The 24,678-nt window shown below is 41.0% G+C and overlaps 1 protein-coding gene and 1 long non-coding RNA gene across 7 annotated transcripts in view, besides 2 other annotated features; one reads left to right on the forward strand and one right to left on the reverse strand.

Moving 5' to 3' along the window:
- CDKAL1 (CDKAL1 threonylcarbamoyladenosine tRNA methylthiotransferase) overlaps positions 1–7,182 on the forward strand; it is a 697,948-nt gene extending 690,766 nt beyond the window's left edge. For all 6 annotated transcript variants that reach the window (XM_047418949.1, XM_047418952.1, NM_017774.3 and 3 more), the window contains one exon: positions 5,626–7,182. In XM_047418949.1, coding sequence (XP_047274905.1) covers positions 5,626–5,817 — 192 coding nt within the window. In that variant the 3' untranslated portion in view covers positions 5,818–7,182. The remainder of the gene's footprint in view (positions 1–5,625) is intronic.
- Positions 2,582–5,837, reverse strand: LOC107986578 (uncharacterized). The gene is made up of 2 exons (XR_001744021.2): positions 5,469–5,837; positions 2,582–3,606 (listed from the first exon to the last, which is right to left on the reverse strand). It is a non-coding gene; the product is annotated as an uncharacterized LOC107986578 (long non-coding RNA).
- Positions 4,999–6,198: an enhancer, noted in NCBI's record as "MED14-independent group 3 enhancer chr6:21230452-21231651 (GRCh37/hg19 assembly coordinates)". NCBI's record gives its function as "activates an origin of replication core promoter dependent on BRD2, BRD4, P300/CBP and CDK7 cofactors, and independent of MED14, by STARR-seq in HCT116 cells {active_cell/tissue: HCT116}" and the evidence as "EXISTENCE:reporter gene assay evidence [ECO:0000049][PMID:35650434]".
- Positions 20,776–21,070: a silencer, noted in NCBI's record as "tiled region #5810; K562 Repressive DNase matched - State 21:Repr". NCBI's record gives its function as "represses a minimal TATA promoter and a strong SV40 promoter by Sharpr-MPRA in K562 cells {active_cell/tissue: K562}" and the evidence as "EXISTENCE:reporter gene assay evidence [ECO:0000049][PMID:27701403]".

A 24,678-nucleotide genomic window follows, 5' to 3' on the forward strand; every position in this document is an offset into this window, starting at 1 on the left:
AAGCAAGTCCTGTCTTAGTTGAGGCCTGAGCAAGCAGTAAGTAGAGGAGGCAGGGGCGGGTGATGGTTTTAGTTCGGAGCTTTCCAGGAGGTGCACTCCACCGGCTTTACCATCTCAGAGCCCGGGGAGTAAGAGGTGCTGACTTCACAATGGACGTAGCTTCTTCCTCATGGGTTAGTGAGGAGGTGCAAGGCAGGACGCTGTCATCTCAGTGTTGGTAGTAAGTGCTGTGGGAGGCTCTGGCCTTCTCTGTTTTTCAAGCTACACTCCTGTGACGTCACCGTCACAGCAGCCCTTATTGTGAACCTTCTGTATTCCAGGCACTCTGCCCGGCTGTGGGCACATTACTTCTATTCCTTCTGATAACTTCCTAAGGTAGATGGCTTTCCTTCTTCACAGAAAGGATAGCCAGGCTTAGAGAGTTTAAACTACCTGCCTAAGATCACATGGCTGTCTGAACCTGCGTTCAGTTTGGTCTGCCACAATTCAAAACCCATGCTCATTCATTATAGTGTGTGCCTCTTAATGGTATACATAAGGAACAAAAATAGCACGGGTCAATTCTATTTTAGAAGCAAATAAAATAATGACTTTGTAATTTACAAAAAGAATTTCTGAGGACGTTTGCGTTTTTCATTAGAACCACAGAATACCATGGAATAAGTTAATCTGAATTGACATTTAAATGTTCAGAACACTTAATCTATATATATCTAATTTAATCCTCATAAAAACCCTATGATGCACAAATACTAGCAGTATCTCCATTTTACAGGTGAGGAAATGGAGGCAAAAAGAGGATAAAATTTGCCTGAGAATCCTCAGATGGAGCTGGGATTAGAGCCCAGAGCTCGAGGACTTACTGCTCCTAGAACCGGTTCCATCTGTGCCTTGTGGCGTGAAACATGCTCAAGTTAAAAGCATCTCTTTCCTTTCCCCAACAATACGTGCACAACTGCTAAAGACGAAGGAAATAGAGATAGACTGTTGTTATCATCCCAACTGTCTGTATTTATCTTTAACTGATTGAAATCTGATCCCTAAAGTTTCTGAACATGAAAGTTTTTTTTTTTTTTTTTTGAAATTTTGGTATCCATACTTGGTTCTGCTTTAACAGATTGATTACTTTGATAGGATTTGATAAGCTACACTTTTGAAAATTAGTAGATTATTTTTAAGAGTTAGCAAGTAAGTAGATTTAGAAATTAATCAAGGGAGCAGTGAGATTTACAAGGGAAGACAAACCCATGTTAATCAAAGTTAACACAGAATGCACGATGGGAATTTTAGTGCGCCCCTTAGTCTTTATTATAACAGGATAAATAACTCCATTTAACAGATAAATAACGCCTTTTGCGTAAGCAAAGGTCATATCCTGCCTTGTTTCAAATTTCTGTTTTTAAAAAAGCATTTCTGAGTAGAATTTGAGTTCTTAAAAATTGTCTGAGTTGATGTTCCAGCTTGTTTTTTTTGTTGTTGCTGTTTTTGTTTTGTTTTGTTTTGTTTTTGAGATGGAGTCTCACTCTGTCACCCAGGCTGGAGTGCAGTGGCGCGATCTCGGCTCACTGCAAGCTTCGCCTCCTGGGTTCACACCATTCTCCTGCCTCAGCCTCCCGAGTAGCTGGGACTACAGGCTCCCGCCACCACGCCTGGCTCATTTTTTGTATTTTTAATAGAGACGGGGTTTCACCGTGTTAGCCAGGATGGTCTCATCTCCTGACCTCGTGATCCGCCTCGGCCTCCCAAAGTGCTGGGATTGTAGGCGTGAGCCACCGCACCCAGCCCCAGTTTGTTTTAATAAGCAATAACATTATTCGAATTTGGTGTATGATACTTTGAGCGATGCAGATATGTATTGAATTTCAGGAATTGACAATCTTGATAAGGTTTTAAAGGTTTAGGGAAGGTCTGAGCCTCTGTTTACTTTCTAGAACTACGCTTGTCGTGTGTGTGTCGACTTTTTCTATCGGCTGTTTATAATCACTTCGCCTATAAGCACTTTTTATTACATTATTTTCTATTCATGATCCCTGCTTTCAACTGGTATGGTTGTACATTTACATGTTTGAGCATCTTGGACTTTATAAGATCTCATATTTCCCATATTTCTAAACTACTTTTTCTTAAGTATCTCAGTGGTAGTGACAATTGAAATGTGCAAAGCTAGCTAGCTACTGATTATTAATTACTCTGTCATCTGAGAAACTTTAAAAATATTATGTTTAAAAATAGTATCATCAAAATCCTTTTATCAAGATCTTGATTTGGTAAAAGGTGAAAATAATAAAAGGGCACAGCACAATAGAGACAGGATGCATTTACCCTCTCCTGCTCCGCGGTCACGCTCCCGCCTTGATCCTCAAGAGAGTGGCAAATCTTGTGGCTGCATATGCATGCTTCTGCTTCTCTGCAGGATGCAGGGTGCAGACTTGTCCAGCAGGCACAGGAGGAAAGCTCAGCACCAAAATACCTTTATGAATCAGTTATGTTCAAATATGTTAAACATCTGAGGGGTGGAGAGAAAAAAAGGATGCCCGAGGAAGAATGACTAAACTTAACATGACCACAAATAATCCTCTCCGGTAGTTCAGTAGGTAACTTTATTTTGAACAAAATTTTATGGCAGATGAGTTGAAAGGAGAAGAAATTTTCTGAAATTGTCATCAGAAGTCAAAGAGTTTTGCTTTTATTTTAACCCAGGCCAAGAAGGCGCAGTACCTGCACTGCTTCATGAAACAAAAAACAAAACGTGTTATCAACCCAACTAAATGCTTAAGATTTTAAGACTCACCTAGTCCTTCCCCAGGTCAGCCTGACACCTGGCCTGGCACCACTAATCATGGCACAGGTTCAGAACCAAGGTCAAGCATTCTGAACTGGGGATAGGGAAAAGGGTGGATTTTCCCTGAAGCTCGTGTAGCCAGTTTCGGGGTCTCTCAATTTGAGGGGCCCCTTCCAAGACCCTGTACCTAATTTTGTATTCATTATTTTTTTCTTAAAGAGAAGGCTTCAGGACCCACAAAATCTGGGTCCACTCCTGGGTGAAGGTATCTGTGAACCTCCTGAAGACAAGAGTGTGAGCGAGGCTGTGTGGATATGTAAATGTGCTTCCATATTTTTCTGGAAGGGTCTGTGTAGTCTTCTCAAAGCCATCTATGACTTACAAAGGTTAAAGAACTCAGGCCTCGGAGAAATTAATCAACCTCTTAATTCTGGTCTTATAACACCACACTTATAAAGTGATGGTTTAATTGCTAGAGGCAACAATTTGTGACTCAAGTAGAATAGCTTCCTGAATGTATCACAGGACACATTGATCACCAGAGACATAGATGAGAATGTTCTTGATGGTTGCTCATCTCATTGGAATACACACTCTCATATTATTCACTCGATCAGTCATTCATTCATTCATTCCTAAACACTTACTGAGTACCTGCTCTGTGACTGCAGCCTGCTAGGTTCCAAGATTTCAGAGATGAATTAGGCAGACTCGCTGCTTTTGAGGAACTCACATAGTTCCTATCAATCAATTCAGCTGAAGGACTCTGCATTCTTTCTCCAGGTTCCCACATATATGTGAGTGCTGTCCTTGAGATCTTGAGGCTATTTTAAATAGAAATGGAAGCTCTTCAGCATAAACCTCACTCCAAAATATTACGCAAAAAGCCACCCTCATAAGAGAGCTGTCTCCTGGGGATGGGGACAGGTCTTCGTGCACCACTGAGCTCCAGCTCTTGCCTCCCCCTGCCATGGGAAGGATGGTCCCATTCTGTCCAGCTGTGTGCCTCCTTACGAAGGACTCAGAGTGCAGGGAGACCAGCAGGATATCGGCCCGGATACCTGAGGAGTGCAGCAGTAAATAATGCTTCCACTGTCATTATGGTTGAGAGACTTTTCCTTGTGGCTAACAGCTGTGTTAATTCTGCTGTTAGCCTTCTACAGACAGAGCAAGAATTCTTCCCACACAATCACATATAAATAGGAGCCTGTGGAAACTGGGCTGTAGAAGTTGTTTTCATTTCCCCATTCCTATTCTTTGTGTCTTGCATTACCCAATCCTTTGAATTCAAATCCTATTGATTCTACATCAAAAGTCTGTTGTTCCCTCTGCCGTCATCCTGATAGAGGTCCTCATTATCTCCCATTTCATCTGTTGCTACAACTTACCACTGGATTTTCTACCCCATTCTCCTGCCTCCCTTCAGTCCACCCCACACATTCCTGTTCCTGTTACCTTCTGCAAAGCACCATTCCAGTGTCTCTCCTGTGCATGCTGAGATGCAGCTTCCCAAACAGAAGCCAAAGAGGTACCAGGAGGTTGCTAGAGCGCTTGGAAGGGAAGACTGAGCAAAGTACCATGGTTGTTCAAAGATACTTTGTGCTTCTGTGGATTTCCTGTCCTGTCCTGCACCGCCTCTGGGCTGCCCCTCCGCCCTAGCATTTTTCCTTCCATCTAGCATTTCTCATCTGCTCCTTCCACACCCCTCCTTCCATCTCTCAAAATGTTATTCAGGTTTCAACAGGGGAGTCCCATGTTATTGGGGGAGGCACCGATTCTGAAGCAGGTACACGAGGTGAAAATATCATCAATTGTGCTTCGAAACTAGAGCCACCCTGACAATAGCCAGGTGCTCCTCTCTCCGCTTCCCTGGACACCAGCTAAGAAGCCGGTGAACAGAAACCACTGAGAAAAGCTGCACAGTCAGGTCCCCAGCTTCTCAGCTCTGCCCAAGCAGGGTTTCCCAACCTGTTCTCTATCTGGCATGAAGAGAAAATGATGATAGTATTTGTATGGCACACAAGGTACTTTGAGGGGACTGAGTGTGGGGTTATGTGGGGTGGGTCACTCTTGGCGCAGCCCTCCTGTGGCAGCAGACCAGCTGGGAATCTTTGTCCTAGGGATGTGTTTGCTGAATCATGGCTTCCATGGTTGTTGGTTGGTTTGTTTGTTTTTGAGACAGGGTCTCACTCTGTTGCCCAGGCTGGAGTGCAGCAGCGCAATCTTGGCTCACTGTAGCCTTCACCTTCCAGGTTCCAGCAATTCTCCTGCCTCAGCCTCCAGAGTAGCTGGGACTACCGGCACCTGCCACCACACCCAGCTAATTTTTATATTTTTAGTGGAGACGGGGTTTCACCATGTTGGCCAGGCTGGTCTCAAACCTCTGACCTCAAGTGATCAGCCCGCCTTGGCCTCCCAAAGTGCTGGGATTACAGGCGTGAGCCACCACACCTGGCCCATGGTGTTTCTTTGTCATTCTTCCATTGCTGAGAAGATATGGTTGCATCTCTCTAAGAGTTAAATATGTCTGTGGTATGACTCCACTTTACACAGATTCTACCCTTCATGAATTCTGCCTTGATTTTCTATAAACACGGCCCGTCTTTCTCATACAGTTTATGTGTAGTCTGGAGTCATGAACTTGGCCTGGCCCTTCAAGGAAAGGAACTGACTCATTCATACCTACCTTGGGGCCACCTGGCCCATGGTGGGTGTTCAAACGTGTCTCTGTTGAAGGAGTACATAAAAGGCGGCACCTTCTGGAACCCATTGCTTGATTGATATCACAACAGGGCTTTCTCTGCATCTAAAAATAATTTTTTCCTCTGTTTCTCTCTTTATAGGACTTCAGAAATGGGCTTGGGAACCAGCTGAGTTCAGGATCCCACACCTCTGCTGCATCTCAGTGTGACTCAGCGAGTTCCAGAATGGTGCTGCCCATGCCAAGGCTACATCAAGACTGTGCGCTGAGGATGTCCGTGGGCTTGGCTCTGCTGGGTCTTCTTTTTGCTTTTTTTGTCAAGGTCTATAATTAGAATACAACTAATGGAAACATCTATAAAGAAGAATACATTTCTAATTAAAATCTTCAATGAACAGGAAAGCGACATCTCCATTCTCCAAGGGCAATAATTTGTACTGGTCATGCTGCCTCCTTCTCAGCCACTCTTCTTAATGAGGCTCCCCCTGTCTCACATTGAGTTGGGCCCATTGGTTATTTGACCTAAAACCTAATCACCGCTACCATAGCACATCCTTCAAATTAAACTGCTTTTGGTTTACTTTTAGCAAGAAATGCAAGCGGTTGCATTTTTTTCTGTTTGTTTCAATCTCTAATCTTTAAGTCAGAACCTAATTGTACAGTGGCTCTGGCCATCTTTTCCTCATGTGGAAGAATTTTCTATCTTTAATAAACTTTTTCTTTGTTTTTTTTTTCCAGATGGAGTTTCGCTCTTGTCCCCCAGGCTGGAGTGGTGCAGTGGCACGATCTCAGGTCACTGCAACCTCTGCCTCCTGGGTTCAAACGATTCTCCTGCCTCAGCCTCCCAAGTAGCTGGGATTACAGGCATGCGCCACCAAGCCCAGACAATTTTTTTGTGTTTTCAGTAGAGACGGAGTTTCACCATGTTGGCCAGGCTAGTCTCGAACTCCTGACCTCAAGTGATCCGCCCGCCTCGGCCTCCCAAAGTGCTAGGATTACAGGCGTGAGCCACTGCGCCCGGCCTCTTTAATAAATATTTTTAAGTGCATCTTCCCCTTCAGGCTTTGTTTGGAGTCCCAGTGCTACAAACATTGTATTTTTCACAGCAGATGTGTTCCTGAAAAGTGTATAGAAACCTGTTCTGGGAACCTGAATGCTTTTGGAATGCACGGGGAGAGTCTGCCAGCTAAAGGACTCCTGGCAACATTCTGTGAAATATGAAACTGGAAAACTGGATTTGTCGAAAACTAATTGTGCCCATTTTCTCACATTTTTGATCCATTGGGGTTTTTTTTTTGTTTTTGTTTTTTTTTTTTTTTGAGTCAAGGTCTCACTCTGTCACCCTGGCTGGAGTGCAATGGCACTATCTTGGCTCACTGCAGCCTTGACCTCCTGGACTCAAGCAGTCCTCCTACCTCAGCCTCCCTAATAGCCAGGGGCTACAGGCATATACCACCATGCCCAACTAATTTTTTAATTTTTTGTAGAGATGAGTGTCACTATGTTGCCCAGGCTTGCCTGGAACTCCTAGCCTCAAGCAGTCTTCTTGCCTCAGCCTCCCAAAGTGCTGGGATTACAGGCGTGAGCCACTCCACCCAGCCCAGATTAAATGTTTTTATTTCTACCTGCCATCATTGGTCTTTACTAAGTGAAGTGACTTCTTTCTTTAACAATAAATAGAATTGGTATACTAAGCAAATCCTATGTTTTTGAGAATTTATTTGGATTGCATAGGTACAGGAAAACCAGGTACCGTGTAGTTACCATAGGATATTTTCCATCTCGAAACCCATACCCCTCTTCAGCTCTTACATTTAACTCAAAATGTTTGTGTTTTGTGTGTCTTTTAAGGAACCCAAATTAAAATTCAGTCATGTCCTAGTTGGTAAATTATAAAATATATATGCTTTTAGTGTTAGTACATTTCTCCTGGAACTGGTATGTGCTTCTAAGAGGTGCTCACATTTAGAATGCAAAAATCCTCCTGTGCTGCTTCTAGTCCTGCAGTGAAACATCCACTTGGGAGCACCCCTCACTTCTTAGCAGGAATGAGAAGAGGACAAGAACCTACCATGTGCCTCCCTTCTTGAGCTCTACGCAGTCATTTCTTTGTTAATAAACAGTGGGTTCCAGTGTGGTGCTCATTTAACAAAAACCTAGCAGAGATAAAAATGCCATCCAAAGCCTAGAGTTGCACTAGATCAGACATAGAGAAAGCTTTACACCTGTAACTGATTGGAGACAAAAAGGATTTTTTCTACCTCCCTTTTCTCTTTCCCTACTCTTTTCCTCACTCCCTCATCTGTTTATTTCCTCCCTTCTAGCTCTATGCTGTCCTCGCCTTTTTTCATTTTTTTCTTCCTGTAAGAGAATGATACACCCAGTCATCCAAATTCCCCCCCTGCTGCTCTCACCTACCATGGCAGGGATCCTCAAGGATCGTTTCAGCTGTACAGGATTCTCCCTACTTCCTGCTGTGACTGTTATTTACCCTCAATTTGGCTGCAGCTTCACTCTGCCGTTTGACCCAGAAAGGGACCGAGGTCACTGCCCGCAGCAGACGCTGGACCTTCATGAAATCAGTCTCCATACTGGCGACCAATTGGTGAGAGGGGTAGCAGTGTTCTGGAAATCCAGGGTTTTTCTTCCCCCTGTGACCTCCATCTCTAGGGAGGGGGAGGGAGAGAGCAGAGAAGGATGCAGTGCAAGTTAAAAACAGTTTTCTTAAGCCCTGGACTCTGAATGGGGCTGAGTCTGGGAACCACGGGAGCAAGTGTGATCATGAGTAGAGCTGTTACTTTTCCAGCCTGTCTCCTTCCTGCCCACAGTGCAACTGCGCTTCTCCCGCCCCGCTGAAGTTAGGCACGAAATGTGAAATGTGAGCGGAAGGGTCACGTCCTTCTTCGGGGCAGACATGTTCAGAGCTGGTGTACGGTTTACTGTGTGCTCTTCCCACTGCTGTGGTGATCCTGGACCCATATGTCAGAATGACGCCTCCCCGACCCTGGGTCCCTGAGTTAGTACAGTTGAGTAGGGCTCCTGGCCAGCATGTGCTACATAGGCATCAGGAACCAGAAATATATTGTGGTTGTGTTAAGCCACCGGCATCTGGGGGTCGTAGCCGTAGCATTCGTAACCTGATTTATACGAAGTGTCAGCCGTGATAGGATGCTTGACCCGCAGATTGTAAATGTAATTGTTATGTTTTCTTTGTATGCTTTTGTATGCTTTGCATTAGTATCAAGGGGTGTGTGTGTGTGTGTGTGTGTGTGTGTGTGTGTGTGTACTTCTCTGCTGAGAAGGAAACCTATGAAGTGATCTTTTCAATGCTTTGGCCAATTTTTTTCTTAAACTCTTTACTAGAATAAAACATACATATGAAATGGACATAAATCATAGGGATACAGGGATTTTTAAAAACTGAGCAAGCATTGTAGCCAGCACCAGGAGGCTCCCCATGTACCCTCCTAGCCATTAAGTCTGCCCCGCAAGGAGTAACCAGTATCCTTATTTCTAACATTACAGATTGATTTGCCTGATTCTAAACTTTCTATAAGTGGAATCATGTAGTATGCACTATTTCATGTCTACCTTCTTTTGTTCTACAGTGATTGTGAGACACATCCAGATTATTGTGTGAGCAGTAATTACTTCACGTTCATTGCTGAATAGTATTTCAGTGTATGAGTACACCACATTGTTCATTCTACATTTGAGTTCTTTCCAATTTTTTGTCTATTATGAATAATGCTGCTATAAACACGTTTTGTTAAGTGTTTATGTGATGATGTGAGGAGTACATGTCTAGGGGTGGAATTGCTGGGTCATAGCATTTGCATATGTTCAGCTTAGATACTGCTAAATGGTTTTCTGAAGTGGTTGTACCAATTTACATCCCCACCAGCAGTTGACATGAATTCTGTCATTCTCCCACTATTTTTTCTCTTTGGACCTTAGATATTCTTCAGCAGACCTTGTCTCTGCTGTCTCCCTTCCACAAGTCATTCCTATTTTAATAGTAATGATAATATTGACAACCATTAACTGTCTAGTCCTTAAATGAAATGCACTGGATGTTATACTTTGCACTTAACAGGTGTTAATCAGTCCTGAAGAAAAAATTTTGAGATACGTATTGTGATTCCCATCATACTGAGAAGAAAATCTAAAACTCAAAAGACTAAGTAACTTGTGCAAGAGGCACAGAGCTCTTAAGTTTAGAGGCAGGACTGGTACACAGCCTGACTCCAAAGCATATACTCCTCTTCTGTAAACTCCTCCTGCTCCTCTGTCCCATCTTTGACTTAAACTTGACCTGTGCCAACAGATACACATTTAGGATCAATCCTGTGGATGCCTGAGCTTGGGGGCCTTCAGCCTTTCAGTCTGTGTTGTCCTGCTCCAAGAATGTGCATGGTACTTGATATACTTTTTAAATAAAGATTTACTAATCAAGCTTTTTTCTTTGCCCTGCCCCCTCCTTCCTTCCTTCTTTCTTTCCCTCCTTTCTATTGTCCCTGCTTCATCTTATCATCCCTGCTTCCTTTCTTATCATCCCAGCATGAGATAGTCAGTTTGAGAATGTAAAGAATTCTTGGGTTAAAACTTTGCTTTGTTGCTGGGAAAATGTGTCTAAACATCAGATTTCCATATGTCATTCAGTCAAAACATATACTACTTCTACTGACTTCACTCCAGGTTGAAAATTTCAGTGTATATTGTAAGATGTCATGGAGGGAGAATTAGAGTTACAAATCAAGCTTCAAGAGGGTTTGTCATCATAAAACAAACATAGGAAAAAAATGAAGAGAGAGAGGGAGGGAAGAGAAGAAAGGAGGGGAGAGAAAAGGAAGAAAAAGAAAAGGAGAAAAGATATTCTTAAGGCTTGCAGCAACAACAAAAAAGGTAATCATATGAGATGATGGGTATGGTAATTCACTTGACTGTAGCCACCATTTTGCTGTGTATATGTGTATCAATACATGTTCACCTTAAATACTCACAATAAAAAATGAATATGTACGTTTTCTAAAAGGTTTGCTGGTCCCCCCAGGCACCCCAGGATGCTGTGGCACATTCACAGGAGCACCCTGGGATTCCTTAAATTTTTGGAGGGAACACAGCAACATCTGTCAGATACCAGGCCAACTACCAGCTCAAAATAGTTCACAGTTTTCAACGTTAGATTTCACAAATTTTGATGACACCATGTCTTTATAAAACTGGATTTTCAGCAATTGCTGTGATAAAAAGCAAGTATCAAGTGAAAATCAATGTGGAACAAGAAGTGAAAATTGTGATCATAGTCCAAGGTTTGAGAAGGGGTGCTGTACCCAACAGATGCACAGCTGCCATTAATAAGTAAAATTAATATGAAATAAAATATTAATATTTTTATCTAAGTTACATGTATTATTTTTTCAAACGGTTCTCATAAGATAGTAGGATATAAATGCTTATTCAGTTGTCAGGATTACCTATTTAAACAGAAGGTTAGCTGCTGCTTTTGGCCTAGGGGTACAAACAATCAAGAAAGTTTGAAAACCTCTGCTCTATGATACAACCTAATTTAAAGGATCCATGTCAAACTTATAATCTGGAGTCCTAATCCCTTCTCAAAATATTTTCCCCTTACTTTAAAGTTAGATTATCCATAGCATGTGTTTGATAAATTTACACTGGACTTGCCGTTGAGTTTGATTTTTATGATGTTGAAACTGTAAAGGAGTTAACAATCAGAATCACTTGGATTCAGCTCTCAGTTGTTTCCAATACAAATTTGAGGCAGAAAATATAAGGAAAGACCATGAGATTTTTGACATCAGCAAAACTTTAAATTCCAGCCAGACCACTTTTTCTTTTTGAGCCACATCTCTAAAACAGGAACAAGATTCCATTGTGGGTCATTGAAAGATAAGTGAACTCATGCATATAAAATACTGTATTCTTGACACATGACATTTCCTCCTCTTTTTTGATTACTGTAGCCACTTAAAGGTGAAAAATACCTTTATAAATAAAGTTAGGTGTTTTAAATTCTGATATCAACACATGACCACCCAAAAGATTTATATATGGAATAAAAAGATTCCTACCTTGAGAGAGATAGAGTCTGATTCTAACAAATGCAGCAAAGGAAGAAAAATTCAAAGGCAATGGACTGCAGCTGTATTTGAGGAGATCAAATTAATGAATAGTGTGGAGCACAGATTTGGGTGGCCAATCTAAGATCAAGAAGGAGATTTTCCATGGCCAAAGATGAAAAGAGCAACCAGATTAATAGGGAGGCCTAGAAGTCATGCCCTCCCCCATCCTGCTTTGAGACTAAAAGGAAATGCAGACACTATTATTCTTGATTAGTTTTCTGTCAATTATTTTCTCCCAGTACTGTTTCCTAGAGTTCTATAGCCAAAATATCTCAACGGTGTAGAAGCTGAAGCAAAGGATGTCACTTGGTGTCTCATGATCTTCCTAGCTTCTGGGTATCTGAATACATTTCTGAGCACTAATGATGCAAGTTCTCAGGAAAAAAAAAAGCAGGGGGATGGAGGAGAACAACCTTGGGTCAAGGTAAAGGAAAACTTGGAGTTCAGAAAAACCTAAAGAAGTATGAGTTTTTAACTCCGAGGTTTATCTAATCTGCTTTTAATATGCCCAATTAATCACAAACCAATAGATGTTATACTAGACAGTCTGATTCCAAAGCCCAATGCCTGCTTTCACCACTGCTGTTTACATTGTACTGGGAGTTCTAGTGAGAACTATTAGACAACAAAAAGAAGTAAAGGGCATCAAATTGGAAAGGAGTAGGTAACACTATCTCTATTTGCAGATTACATGATCATATGTATAAAGCATCCCAAAGAAACCACAGGAAAGCAACTAGAGCTAATAAATGAATTTAGCAAAGTTACAGACTATAAGACCAATGCAAAAAAAGAAATTCATTTGTGTTTTTTTACACTAGCAATGAACAATCCGAAAAGGAAATTGAGAAAGCAGTTCCATCTACAATAGCAGCTAAACAAATTAAACACTTAGGAATATATCTAACTAAGGGGGTAAAAGATTTGTATGCTGAAAACTAAAAATCATTGCTGAAAGAAATTTATGAATATCTGAAAAATGGAAAGGTATCGTATGTTCATTAATAGGAAAACTTAGCATTAAGATGTTAATACTACCCAAAGTGAGCTACAGATTAAACACACTCTCTATCAAAATTCTAACAGCCTGTTTTACCAAAATGGAAAAGCCAACCCTCAAACTCATATGGAATCACAGGCAACCCCAAATAGCTAAAACAATCTCTAAAAAGTAGACTAAAACTGGAGGACTCATGTTTTCCAACTTCAAAACTTCCAACAAAGCTACAGTAACTACAACTGTGATACCTGCTTAAGGACAGACAGAGACCAAAGGACTAGAGTAGAAAGCCCAGAAATAAATTCTCACATATGTAATCAATTGATTTTCAACAAGGGCGCCAACACCATTAAATAGAGAAAGGACAGTATTTTCAACAAATGCTGTGGGGAAAACTGGATATCCATGTGCAAAAGAATAAAGTTGGACTTCACCTTATACCATGTACAAAAATTACCTCAAAATGGATCAAATACTTAAACTTGAGTTAAAATTATAAAACTCATAGAAGAAAACATTAGGGAAAATCTTCATGACATTGGATTTGGCAATGATGTCATAAATATGACACCAAAAGTACAGGTAACAAAAAAATGGACTTCATCAAAATTAATAACTTTTGTGCATCAAAGAACGTTATCAAGAAGGCAAAAGACAACCTACAGAATGGGCGAAAATGTAAATCATATATCTGAGAAGGGATTAACATCCAAGGTAATTCCTACAACTCAACAACAACTACAACAAATCACAAACACCCTAATTCAAAAATAAGTAAAGGATTTGAATAGATATTTTTCCAAAGAAGATATACAAATGGCTAATAAACACATAAAAAGATGCTCAACATCATTCATCACTGGGGAATTGCAAATTAAAATTATGAGATATTATCTCACCCATTAGGAGACTGCTATTTAAAAAAATAGAAAATGGTAGCTCTGTTTAAGTTCTTTGAGAAATCTCCAAACTGTTTTCCACAATGGCTGAACTAATTTACATACCCACCAACCAGAGTATAAGTTTTCTCTATGTTCTTTGCAGTCTTGCCAGCATCTGTTGTTTTTTTTTGACTTTTTAATAATACCTATTCTGACTGGTATGAGATGGTATTTCACTGTGGTTTTGATTTCTCTGACAGTGATGAGCATTTTCTCATGTGTTTGTTGGTCTCTTGTGTGTCTTTTTTTGAGAAGTGTCTGTTCATGTACTTTGCCCATTTTTTAACAGTTTTGGGGTTTTGCCTGTTGATTTAAGTTCCTTATAGATTCTGAATATTAGACCTTTGTCAGAAATATAGTTTGCAAATATTTTTCTCCCATTCTGTAGGTTGTCTGTTTACTCTGTTGATAGTTTCTTTTGCTGTGCAGAAGCTCTTTAGTTTAATTAGGTCTCACTTGTCAATTTTTGTTTTTGTTGCAATTGCTTTTGAGGACTTAGCTAAAAATTCTTTGTCAAGGCCAATGTGAAGAAAAATATTTCCTAGGTTTTCTTCTAAGCTTTTTGTAGTTTGAGGTCTTACATTTAAATCTTTAATCTATCTTGAGTTCATTTTTGTGTATGGTGAAAGAGAGGGGTCCAGTTTCATTCTTCTGCATACGGTTAGCCAGTTATCCCAGCCGAATTTATTAAAAAGAGATTCATTTCCCCAATGTTTGTTTTTATCTGCTTTGTCAAAGATCAGATGGTTGTAAGTGGGTGGCTTTATTTCTGAATTTTCTGTTCCATTGGTCTACGTGTCTGTTTTTGAACTAGTACCATGTTGTTTTGATTACCGTAGCCTTGTAATATAGTTTGAAGTCAGGTAGTGTGATGCCTCTAGCTTTGTTCTTTTCACTTAGGATTGCTTTGGCTATTTGGGCTCCTTTCTGTTTTCATACGAATTTGAGTATATATACCCAAAGGAAAATAAATCATTCTACCAAAAAGACACATGCACTTGCATGTTCACCATGCTATTCACAATAGCAAAGACATGAAATCAACCTAGGTGCACATCAGTGGTGAACTGGATAAAGAGCATGTGGTACATATACACCATGGAATACTACATAGCCATAAAAAGAAACGAAATCATATCCTTTGCAGCAAATAGATTGCAGCTGGAGGCCACAATCCTAAATGAATTAATGCAGGAACCCAGAAAACTAAATACCACATGTTCTCACTTATAAGTGGGAGCTAAACATTGAGCACACATGGACATAAATATGGGAAGAATAAATACTTCAGACTACTACGGGGGAAGGGAGGGAAGGGTCATGAGTTGAAAAATTACCTATTGGGTACTAGGCTCACTACCTGGGTGACAGGATCCATACCCCAAACCTCAGCATCATGCAATATACCCATGTTACAAACCAGCACATGTACCCCTTATATCTAAAATAAATTTTGAATTAAAAAAAAAACAAAATAACAAATGCTAGTGAAGATGTAGAGAAGTTGAAACCCTTAAACATTTTCTGTGGAAACGTAAAATGATGCAACCACTGTGGAAAATAGTGGTGCCTCAAAATTTAAATCGAGAACTACCATATGACCCAGATATTCCACTCCTAACTATATATCCAATGGAATTAAAAGCTTTAACTCAAACCGATGTCTGTTTACCAATGTTTATAGCAACATTATTCACAATAGCCAAAAGGTGGGAACAACCCAACAGTCCATTGACAGATGAACGCATAAACAAAATGTAGTATATCCATACAATGGAATATTATTCAGCCTTAAAAAGGAGTGAAATGTTACAACACAGATGAACCTTGAAAACATTAGGGTAAGTGAAATAAGCCAGACACAGGACAAATATTGTATGACTCCAGTTACATGGGGAACCAGAATAGGCAAATTCATAGAGACACAAAGTAGAATAGAGGTTATCAGGAACTGAGGGGAGTGGGAAGAAGGAGATTCTATTGCTTAATGGATACAGAGTCTATGTTAGGTATGACTAAAAAGTTTTAACTGCAGTAATATACAAGGGAAGTGTCTAGTAGACTAAGAAATAAGTTCAGGTCATGTTGTGAAAGGTTTTGATGCCCTGCCAAGGAATCTAGACTTTATTCAGTAGTCAAGGGAGAGCCACTACAGGCTTCTAAACAGGCTTGTAAACATTGCAGGCCATGAAGAGATTCATGTTTGGAAAGATAAGCAGCGACAATATGGAGGTTAGCTGGTTCTCCTATTGATAATCCCGGTCAATGGGTGCCCTTACCATACCCTATATTGACACTTTTGGAAACATACAACATAGTAGTCACTTTCTCAGGCTTGGGAAAAGTTAAATTTCTACTGTTGAGCTTCCAAATGTGTCCATTTCCAGGAGAGCTATTAGTAAGCCTCAACTTAGCCAGTTGGTGGTGGCTTTTGTTCTTGTCATTGCTATTACTGATCCTAGATCTTATCTTACTGTTGCTGATAATGGAGTTTTGTTTTGCAATAGTTGCTGTAATACATAGCTGGAAAGGATGTGCGGATCCCTTTGTTGTCTTAATTAAGAAAGTGCCTCAGTAAGAGGCAAGCTCCTGTCTTTGTAGTTCAGCATCTTTGATCCCCACTTAATCTTCGCTTGGACACTTCCACACTGAATAGCTTCTGGAAACCTAGCAACCCTCTATCCCTCCAGCACCCGCTACCTTCTCTCCTTATCTACTGCAATTTAAATAATTGACTCCAGCTTTCTGGTTTTGATTTTCTGTGTCTCAGATTCTCTTACTACATCTGTTCAGTTAACAATTCATATGCTCTATTCTTAATAAATGGATGCAAATGCTTTACAAAAAAGCCACTCGTGATAACTATCTCAGGCTGTGATCTCAGAAGGCAGATGCTTCTGGTTTTTTGTTTCTGTTTTTTGTTTTTTCAACCCATGTGATTTCTGCAACCTTACTTGGTATCATTTGAGATGTAAGGGAAGAGTTTCTGCTACCATAGACACCACTTCGTGGTTCACTGTGCTTAATTCCAAACTTCACAGGAAACCTCTAAATTTCTGATCATTGGCCCATTAAAGTGTTAAAACTTGGTGTCCACAAGACCAGAAAAACTAGACTATAATGTGGTCTCAACCCTGTGTTTTGGGCCTGAGTAAGTAAACCTGATCATAGCACAGTCTCTCACCCAGGAAACAATGGTGAATAGTCAATATCACATCTCATTTGGTTCCATAGTCAAGAGTAAAATAAGAAGTCAAACAGAAAATGAACCAGGAGATGGAGCTTATAGAGTCTGGGTCCCAACCACAGGAAGTAAAGAATCTTTTAAATTCCACTTAAAATATAAAATATAAAAAAATTAGCCAGGCGTGGTGGCAGGCGCCTATAGTCCCAGCTACTCGGGAGGCTGAGGTAGGAGAATGGCGTGAACCCGGGAGGCGGAGCTTGCAGTGAGCCGAGATCACACCACTGTGCTCCAGCCTGGGCAACAGAGCGAGATTCCATCTTTTAAAAAAAAAAAAAAAAATATATATATATATATATATATATATATGTATGTATAATATAAATGTTTTATATGGAGAAACATTCAGGACAGGTTGGGTTTGTGTCTTTTTTAACAGAATGATCTGCAGGCTCTCAAAGAAAGTTCTGGAATGGCTGTTACCCTTGACTACTTCCATATTTCCCTGATTTCATCTTTTCATCTTGATTCTCTGATAGTTTTTCTTCTCATACATTCCTCTAACCCCATATATGCAAAGTCAGATCCCAAGCCTTAAATTGGGATCCCTCTTCTCTTCTTCCCTCTTAACCCAAAATCCTCCAAGATTTTTGAAGGCAGAAAGGTTGAAAATTTCAAAGCAATCTTTAGAAAAACAGAAGTTGGTTGGATACCAGTCTAAAAATTTTAATCTCATCAAACCAGATTGCCTTGTGCCATCAGAATTATAAAAAGCTACAAGAAAATTCAGTAGCTAAAAACGTTGCAGTTTAGTTAGAAGAATATTTTTAATGACTCTAGACATATTAGTCAAAAAGAAAGTAGGGGAAAAAGGCAATTTAACACCAGCTTTTCCTCACGTTCCACGGCAAAGTCAAGCTGTATATCCGAGGAGCGGCAGTATCTCCAATTAATATTAAATGAAAAACCTGTGGCAACCTAACATCGAAGTCACAAATTTAAAGCCCCAGAAAGTCACCACCGGCTGCCATCTGGTCATCAATCCTAAACAACCTCTGTTCCTCTGTAATGTGTCAGGGAATTTAAATTTTCTTATAGTAATATTTAAAATTTGAGTTAAGATTTGAGTAGGTTGTACAGAAAGACTGCTCTTTCTCCGTGCTCAATGAAAGGGAATTGTGTCTGTTTCATCTGGAGCCTGGTCTTTCTTGAAAAGGCAGGAGTGGTGAACCCTGCACGTCAGCCTAGAGTAAGAGCAAGAGGGGCTCATAGAGCATGGAGTTGGACTCCTTTATTTTACAGATGGAGAGACTGAGGTTAGGAGAGTTTAGTGACTTGTCCGAGGCCACCCTTCTAGTTTAGGGCATTTCTGAATAAGAATCCTTAACGTTCTCTTTGGTGTTGAGATGTTTTGGGGCAGGACTCTGGACTTACCTGTTCAGTTGTATGTAGTGTATTCACCGTTGTGTCACTTGATTTATCCATGCCAGAGTGGAGACTCAGCAAATGAATAAATAAATGAAAAATGGGAATGAGATCCCACCATATCTAAATACCAGATTGCCAAAAAGTGAGAGCTGAATTGCCTGAGTTTTCAAAGGTTCACTGAGAAATGGGGAAGAGCTTGGCATGGCCTTTGAGTCTAATCGTGGTGTCTCTTCTTCACACCAAATATCTAGGCAGACCCTAGGAATTTGATTACAGTGTATCTGCACACATATTATGCAAAGGAACCACTTGGTCTTTCACTGTGAAACAAACAAAATCCAGCATACCTCAGCTGATTTGTCAATATCATTTTTTATGTATTCTGGGGCCCATTCTAATGACCCAGAGAAATCTCTCACAAACAAATTGGGTTTTTATAAGATTACATTGGTGATGGGAACAGAAAAAACAGGATTTAAAAAAAAAAAAAGGCCAGGCACGGTGGCTCACGCCTGTAATCCTAGCACTTTGGGAGGCCAAGGTGGGCAGATCACGAGGTCAAGAGATCGAGACCATCCTGGCCAACATGGTGAAACCCTGTCTCTACTAAAAATACAAACATTAGCTGGGCATGGTGGCGCATGCCTGTAATCCCAGCTACTTGGGAGGCTGAGGCAGGAGAATCACTTGAACCAGGGAGTCGGAGGTTGCAGTGAGCTGAGACGGTACCACTGCACTCCACCACTGCACTCCAGCCTGGCGACAGAGCGAGACAGCAAACAAACAAAAAAAACCTTCCTGGCCTGATGCTGTGGTGCATACCTGTAACCCCAGCACTCTGGGAGGCCAAGGCAGGCGGATCACTTGAGGCCAGGAGTTCAAGACCAGCCTGGGCAACATGGCAAAACCCCATTTCTACAAAAAATACAAAAATTAGCTGGGTGTGGTGGTGGGTGCCTGTAATCCCAGCTACTTGGGAGGCTAAGGTGGGAGAATCACTTGAACCCAGGAGGCGGAGGTTGCAGTGGGCCAAGATCATACCACTGCACTCTAGCCTGGGTGACAGAGTGAGATTCTGTCTCAAAAAAACAACAAACAAACAAACAAAAAAACAAGCCCTCTCCCCTCCATCTCCCTAAAACAATAAAGAGATTTTGTTCATTGGAAGAAAACAAAACAAAACAAACACTCCTTGGCAGCCAAAGGAACTCGGAGGAACACAAAACTTTACTCGGTACAGGAAGGTAACATACCATCAGATTCTCAATTACTTAGTCAACCTTGGTTTACAACAATTGACATTAAGACAGCACTCAGAAATAACAATAACGAAAACAAACTCAAACACTTGCCACCTCCTCTTATGGAAAGACAGCAAGGGGTGGGCGGTGGGCACCAGTCAGTACCTTCCAAGGGAACATTTCCTTTACCTGGAAAAGGAATTCTAATACATGAAATTTGCTCTAAAAATTATCAGATGAGGAAAAGTAAAGCCTGCACGTGAATTTTCTCTAATGCCTACAGCCAAAAAGCAATGTCCCAGACTGGTAATATTTTTCTAAGAAATTATATTTAGCCCTTTCTCTTTCCTTTTTGACCTTCAGGAGAGGGAAAACAATTAATTTCAGAACCCACTTAATACTGGTCAGAACTTCCTCTGTTTTCAGACAGTGACAGGTACCAGGTCCTCCCTTCTGCAGACAATCTTTCCTGTCTCTCTAAATGTTTTGTAATCAGATGTGGTAGTTCCAAATTCTCTTTATTCCAAACAGAGCCAGGAAGTAATTTCTCAGGCAGTTTAACTTTGATAGCAGGTAATTTTAATCTATCGCAAACATCAGCCTGACATGGACTTGTTATCTTCATTATTTTAATTACTCTTTTGGGCCACTTTTTTCCCTCATTCCTTCCAGGAAGGAGTGAATAGAAATTGGCAGCTTTAATCTTATCATGCCATGGACCAGATTTTTTTTTTTTTTTTTTTTTTTTTTTTTGCTTACTAATGGCGTCATTTAGCCATGTATCTTAAGTAATGAAATTTGTTTGTGAAACTCTTTATCTTAATAAAAAAAGGGAAAAAGTTACCTTTTCTGATGGGAAGTCACCCACCTCTGTCACACTGCTGTCTATGCTGTTCTGAACAGCTGACAGTTTCTGTTAATTTACTTTAACTCCCCAGTTCAACTTTCCCATATGGAAAGCTGGAGTGATTTTTGAATAACAGCAAGTAATATCTGATGTGGCAGCAACTGGCAGCTCTGACATTGAGCTTGACTGTGGCCATTACCCAGGATTCCCCGCTTCTCCTTGAGAAGCAATTACAATTTCACAGGATGGAATTAAAATTCCCTGTGGTAAGCAATAGAGCAACCGACACTGTCAAAGTGATTTCAAGCTGCTAATCTCTTGCTGGAGTATGAGTGAAAATAGAGTTCCTCTTCATGGAAACCGAGGCCTGACAACTTTAAAACTCCGAATCTTTGATATATTTTAATTAGCTCCAAGGTCAGCCAGCAGTGACCCAACAAAATTTGTTATAGCACTAGATGGTGGAATATAGGGGCATTTTCACTGAAGTAGGGTTGGGAGGAGGCAGAAGAAGCATTTGGACTGAGAATGAACATAACAAAAAGCAGGCCCAGCTTTTGTATGAACCATATGAGGAGAGAAGGAAGTATACAACAACTTCTGAGATCTAATCTGGGGAAGGACACAGAGGATAAATGCCTTCGGGCCAGGTTCTCCAACTTCTTTCTGGAGATCCTCTTCTCACAGATCAGAGGGTGCAGCCCCCACTGTGCCGGGAAGAGCACCGAGGCAGTGTGCTGTATCAGAAGGCTCAGAGCTTTGGGCATGACACCTGGGTTCACACCCTTCTCCACCCACTCACTGTGTGATCTCTTACGATGAAATAGAAAGTCATCGAAACTCAGCTTCCTCATTGGTAGAATGGGCTCAAATATACCCACTTTGCAGAGTTGTGATGGATCAGGTATGAAAAGTGCTCTTCCCAGCGGCCCATACATCACAGATACTGATTAAATATTAGCTATTATTAACAAACAGAAAGGTCTTGTCTAATCATGAGGTTCCCCAAACCTCATAACTTTTGTCATAGCCAATGACCGTCGACAGAATTGTTTACTCAATGGTTTGTTTTCAACGACTCACTTTGGAAACTTTAGGAACACTTTATATCATGAATGGGAAACCTATATCTCTTGCCATACATAATTACCATTTAAAACAATGCAAAATAAGAAGAGTTAATAAACTCTACTTAGCATTGCCTGAAGAAGGCTATGGTATTCAGTTAACAAACAAACAACAAAAAAGAAGAAACAGAACTGGTAGAGAGATCGGAACCAAACTAAGCTGAGGTCTCAATCCTTATCAACCTTTACCAATCGCCCACCTGTGCCTATCTTTGGGGGCCTGGTCCATTTTTATTAGCCTACTTGTTTCATTTCCTGTAGCCTCATTTTCTTCTTACATTTGAAAATAGTGAAGGATGTATACCTAGCAGAGAAGCAAGTCAACCCCTCTGAGTTTTTCTATTACTTGACTTCCTGGATGCTGATTTGAGTTTACAAGCGTAAACACATGGGTAACACTGATTTTCTTTCTTCCTCATGAACAAAGAGGCAGCCCCTATGAATGAGTGTTGGTAGGAATCCAGCAATACCCCTCACTCATGAATTTCATGATGGTCAGGGGCACTGATGGAGCAGAGCCAGTCTCTGTCCTGCCCAGCCCCTGACCTCTTTCGTTCCTTCTGAGTGCCCAGCCCTGCGATGCAGGCGTGAGCTCAGGAGCCTCTGATTAATTTTCATGTTGTTCCATGGTGCCCTGGGTTATGTTTGCTCTGACCAGTTTTTCAGAGGAAAATTACAAAGCAGGTATTTTTTCTACAGCTACCCAACCACATTGTGTGACTTTATCCTTTTCTTTTTCAATTTAATATTTTTCTTTTGTTAAAGAGTTTTTCTAAAGTCTTCAAGCTAAGCCTGTGTCCATTCTTGGAATGACAGGTGTTTCAACTACATTTTAAAAACTGCACTCAATAGAAAGATCATCTATAGGTAAAAGTCCAGGGCCAGCCTTAGAGCTGGTACATCAATACTCCTGGAATAAATGAGTTTTTAGAAGATGAGAAATCTCCATTTCTCCTGCAGCCTTTTTTTTTGTTTGTTTGTTTTTTTTTTTTGAGACAGGGTTTCACTCTGTCGCCCAGACTGGAGTGCAATAGTGCTATCTTGGCTCACTGCAACCTCCACCTCCCAAGTTCAAGCAATTCTCCTGCCTCCGCCTCCCGAGTAGCTGGGATTACAGGTGCATGCCACCACGCCTAGCTAATTTTTGTATTTTTAGTAGAGACGGGGTTTCACCATGTTTGTCAAGCTGGTCTCGAACTCCTGACCTCATCATGATCCGCCTGCCTCGGCCTCCCAAAGTGCTGGGATTACAGGCGTGAGCCACCGCACCCGGCCCTAGTTCCAAAACTTTTTTATCACCTGAGACAGGAATTCAGTACACATTAAATAATAACTTTATTCTCCCAATCCCAGCCTCTGGTAACCCAACCTTCTGTATCTATGAATTTGCTCATGCTAGATACCCCATATAAGTGGATTCTTATAACATATGTCATTTTGTGTCTGGCTTATTTCATTTAGTGTAATGTTTTCAAGGTTCATCCATGTTGTAGCACATATCAGAACTTTATAATTTTTATGACTGAATAATAGTCTATTGTATGTACATACCACCTTTTGTTTATCCATTTACCTGCTGATGGACATTTGGGCTGTTTCTACCTTTTGGCTATTGGGAATACTGTTGATAAGAAGATGTCGGCCGGGCGCGGTGGCTCACGCCTGTAATCCCAGCACTTTGGGAAGCCGAGGCGGGCGGATCACGAGGTCAGGAGATCGAGACCATCCTGGCTAACACGGTGAAACCCTGTCTCTACTAAAAATACAAAAAATGAGCCAGGCGTAGTGGCGGGCGCCTGTAGTCCCAGCTACTCGGGAGGCTGAGGCAGGAGAATGGCGTGAACCCGGGAGGCGGAGCTTGCAGTGAGCCGAGATCGCGCCACTGCACTCCAGCCTGGGCGACAGAGCGAGACTCCGTCTCAAAAAAAAAAAAAAAAAAAAAAGAAAGATAAGAAGATGTATGTTGTCTGTGTTTGTTTGAGTAGCTGCTTTCAGTTCTTTAGGATGTATAACTAGGAGTGGAATTCCTGGGGCATGTGGCAATTTTATGTTTAACTTTCTAAGGAAACACCAAACCATGTTCCTAGAAGTTCATCTTTGATGACTCATTCTTTTGGACTATGCATCTCCATTTCCTTACATCCTTTCAAAAATTAGTTATAAAAATTTTCAAACGTTCCAAAAGTTGAGACTACCACAAGCCCCATGCACCCACCACTCATCTTCAGCAGCCATCAGATTTCTGCCATACCTGTTTCATCTATATCCCTCATCCACACGCCCCTTTTTAATTTTTGCTGAAGAATTTCAAAGCAAATACCAGATATTCTGTAATTTCTCCCCACAAAACTTAAATATACAACTAAAATGGGGAGCAGCATCTTCTTACATAATCACCTTAATAAAATTAAAACTAATTAACTCTTTTTTTCTTTTTGAGATGGAGTCTTGCTCTTGTTGCCCAGGCTGGAGTGCAGTGGTGCAACCTTGGCTCACCACAACCTCTGTCTCCTAGGTTCAAGTGATTCTCCTGCCTTGGCCTCCCGAGTAGCTGGGATTACAGGCACCCACCATCATGCCCAGCTAATTTTTTGTATTTTTAGTAGAGATGGGGTTTCACCATGTTGGCCAGAATGGTCTCGAACTCCTGACCTCAGGTGATCCACCCACCTCGGCCTCCCAAAGTGCTAAGATTACAGGCATGAGAGTCCCTGGCCCTAATTAACTTCTTAATATTAGTCAATGCATACTCTATATTTACATTTCCCTACTAGTCTTAAAATAAAAATACTGTCTTGCCTTTGATTTGTTTGAATCAGGATCCAAACCAGGTCCATTGTATTTGATTAATTTATCTCTGGAGTGTCCTTTAAGTTGGTTTTAATCTCTTTCTTCTTTATCTATGCTACGGGCTTATGAAAGAAACCAGGTCAGGGGTCTTACAGAAAGTCTCCCGTTCTGTAACTGGCTAATGTCTTTCTTGTGGTGTTGTTTATACACTCTCTTAAAGTAAACATTTTGTTTCTGCAATAGTAATATAGTCAGTTCCTGTGGCTGCCACTCTCAAGCTTTAATCCCAACCATAATTATCACCACAGATACTTTTTTAAAAATTCAGATTCCTGGCCCTTGTGCCCCTCACTCTCCAGGCTCCCCTCCCCACCCTAGAGGGTTTGATTGGGAAGTTCTACATTGCAGCCCAGACATCTGCATCTTTAGCACACTTTTCAGGCAATTTGAATGCAGGTGGTCCCTAATTACAAGGTAGAAGGACCAAATCT

The sequence above is a fragment of the Homo sapiens genome, chromosome 6, assembly GCF_000001405.40.
Source record: "Homo sapiens chromosome 6, GRCh38.p14 Primary Assembly".
NCBI classification, from domain to species: domain Eukaryota; kingdom Metazoa; phylum Chordata; class Mammalia; order Primates; family Hominidae; genus Homo; species Homo sapiens.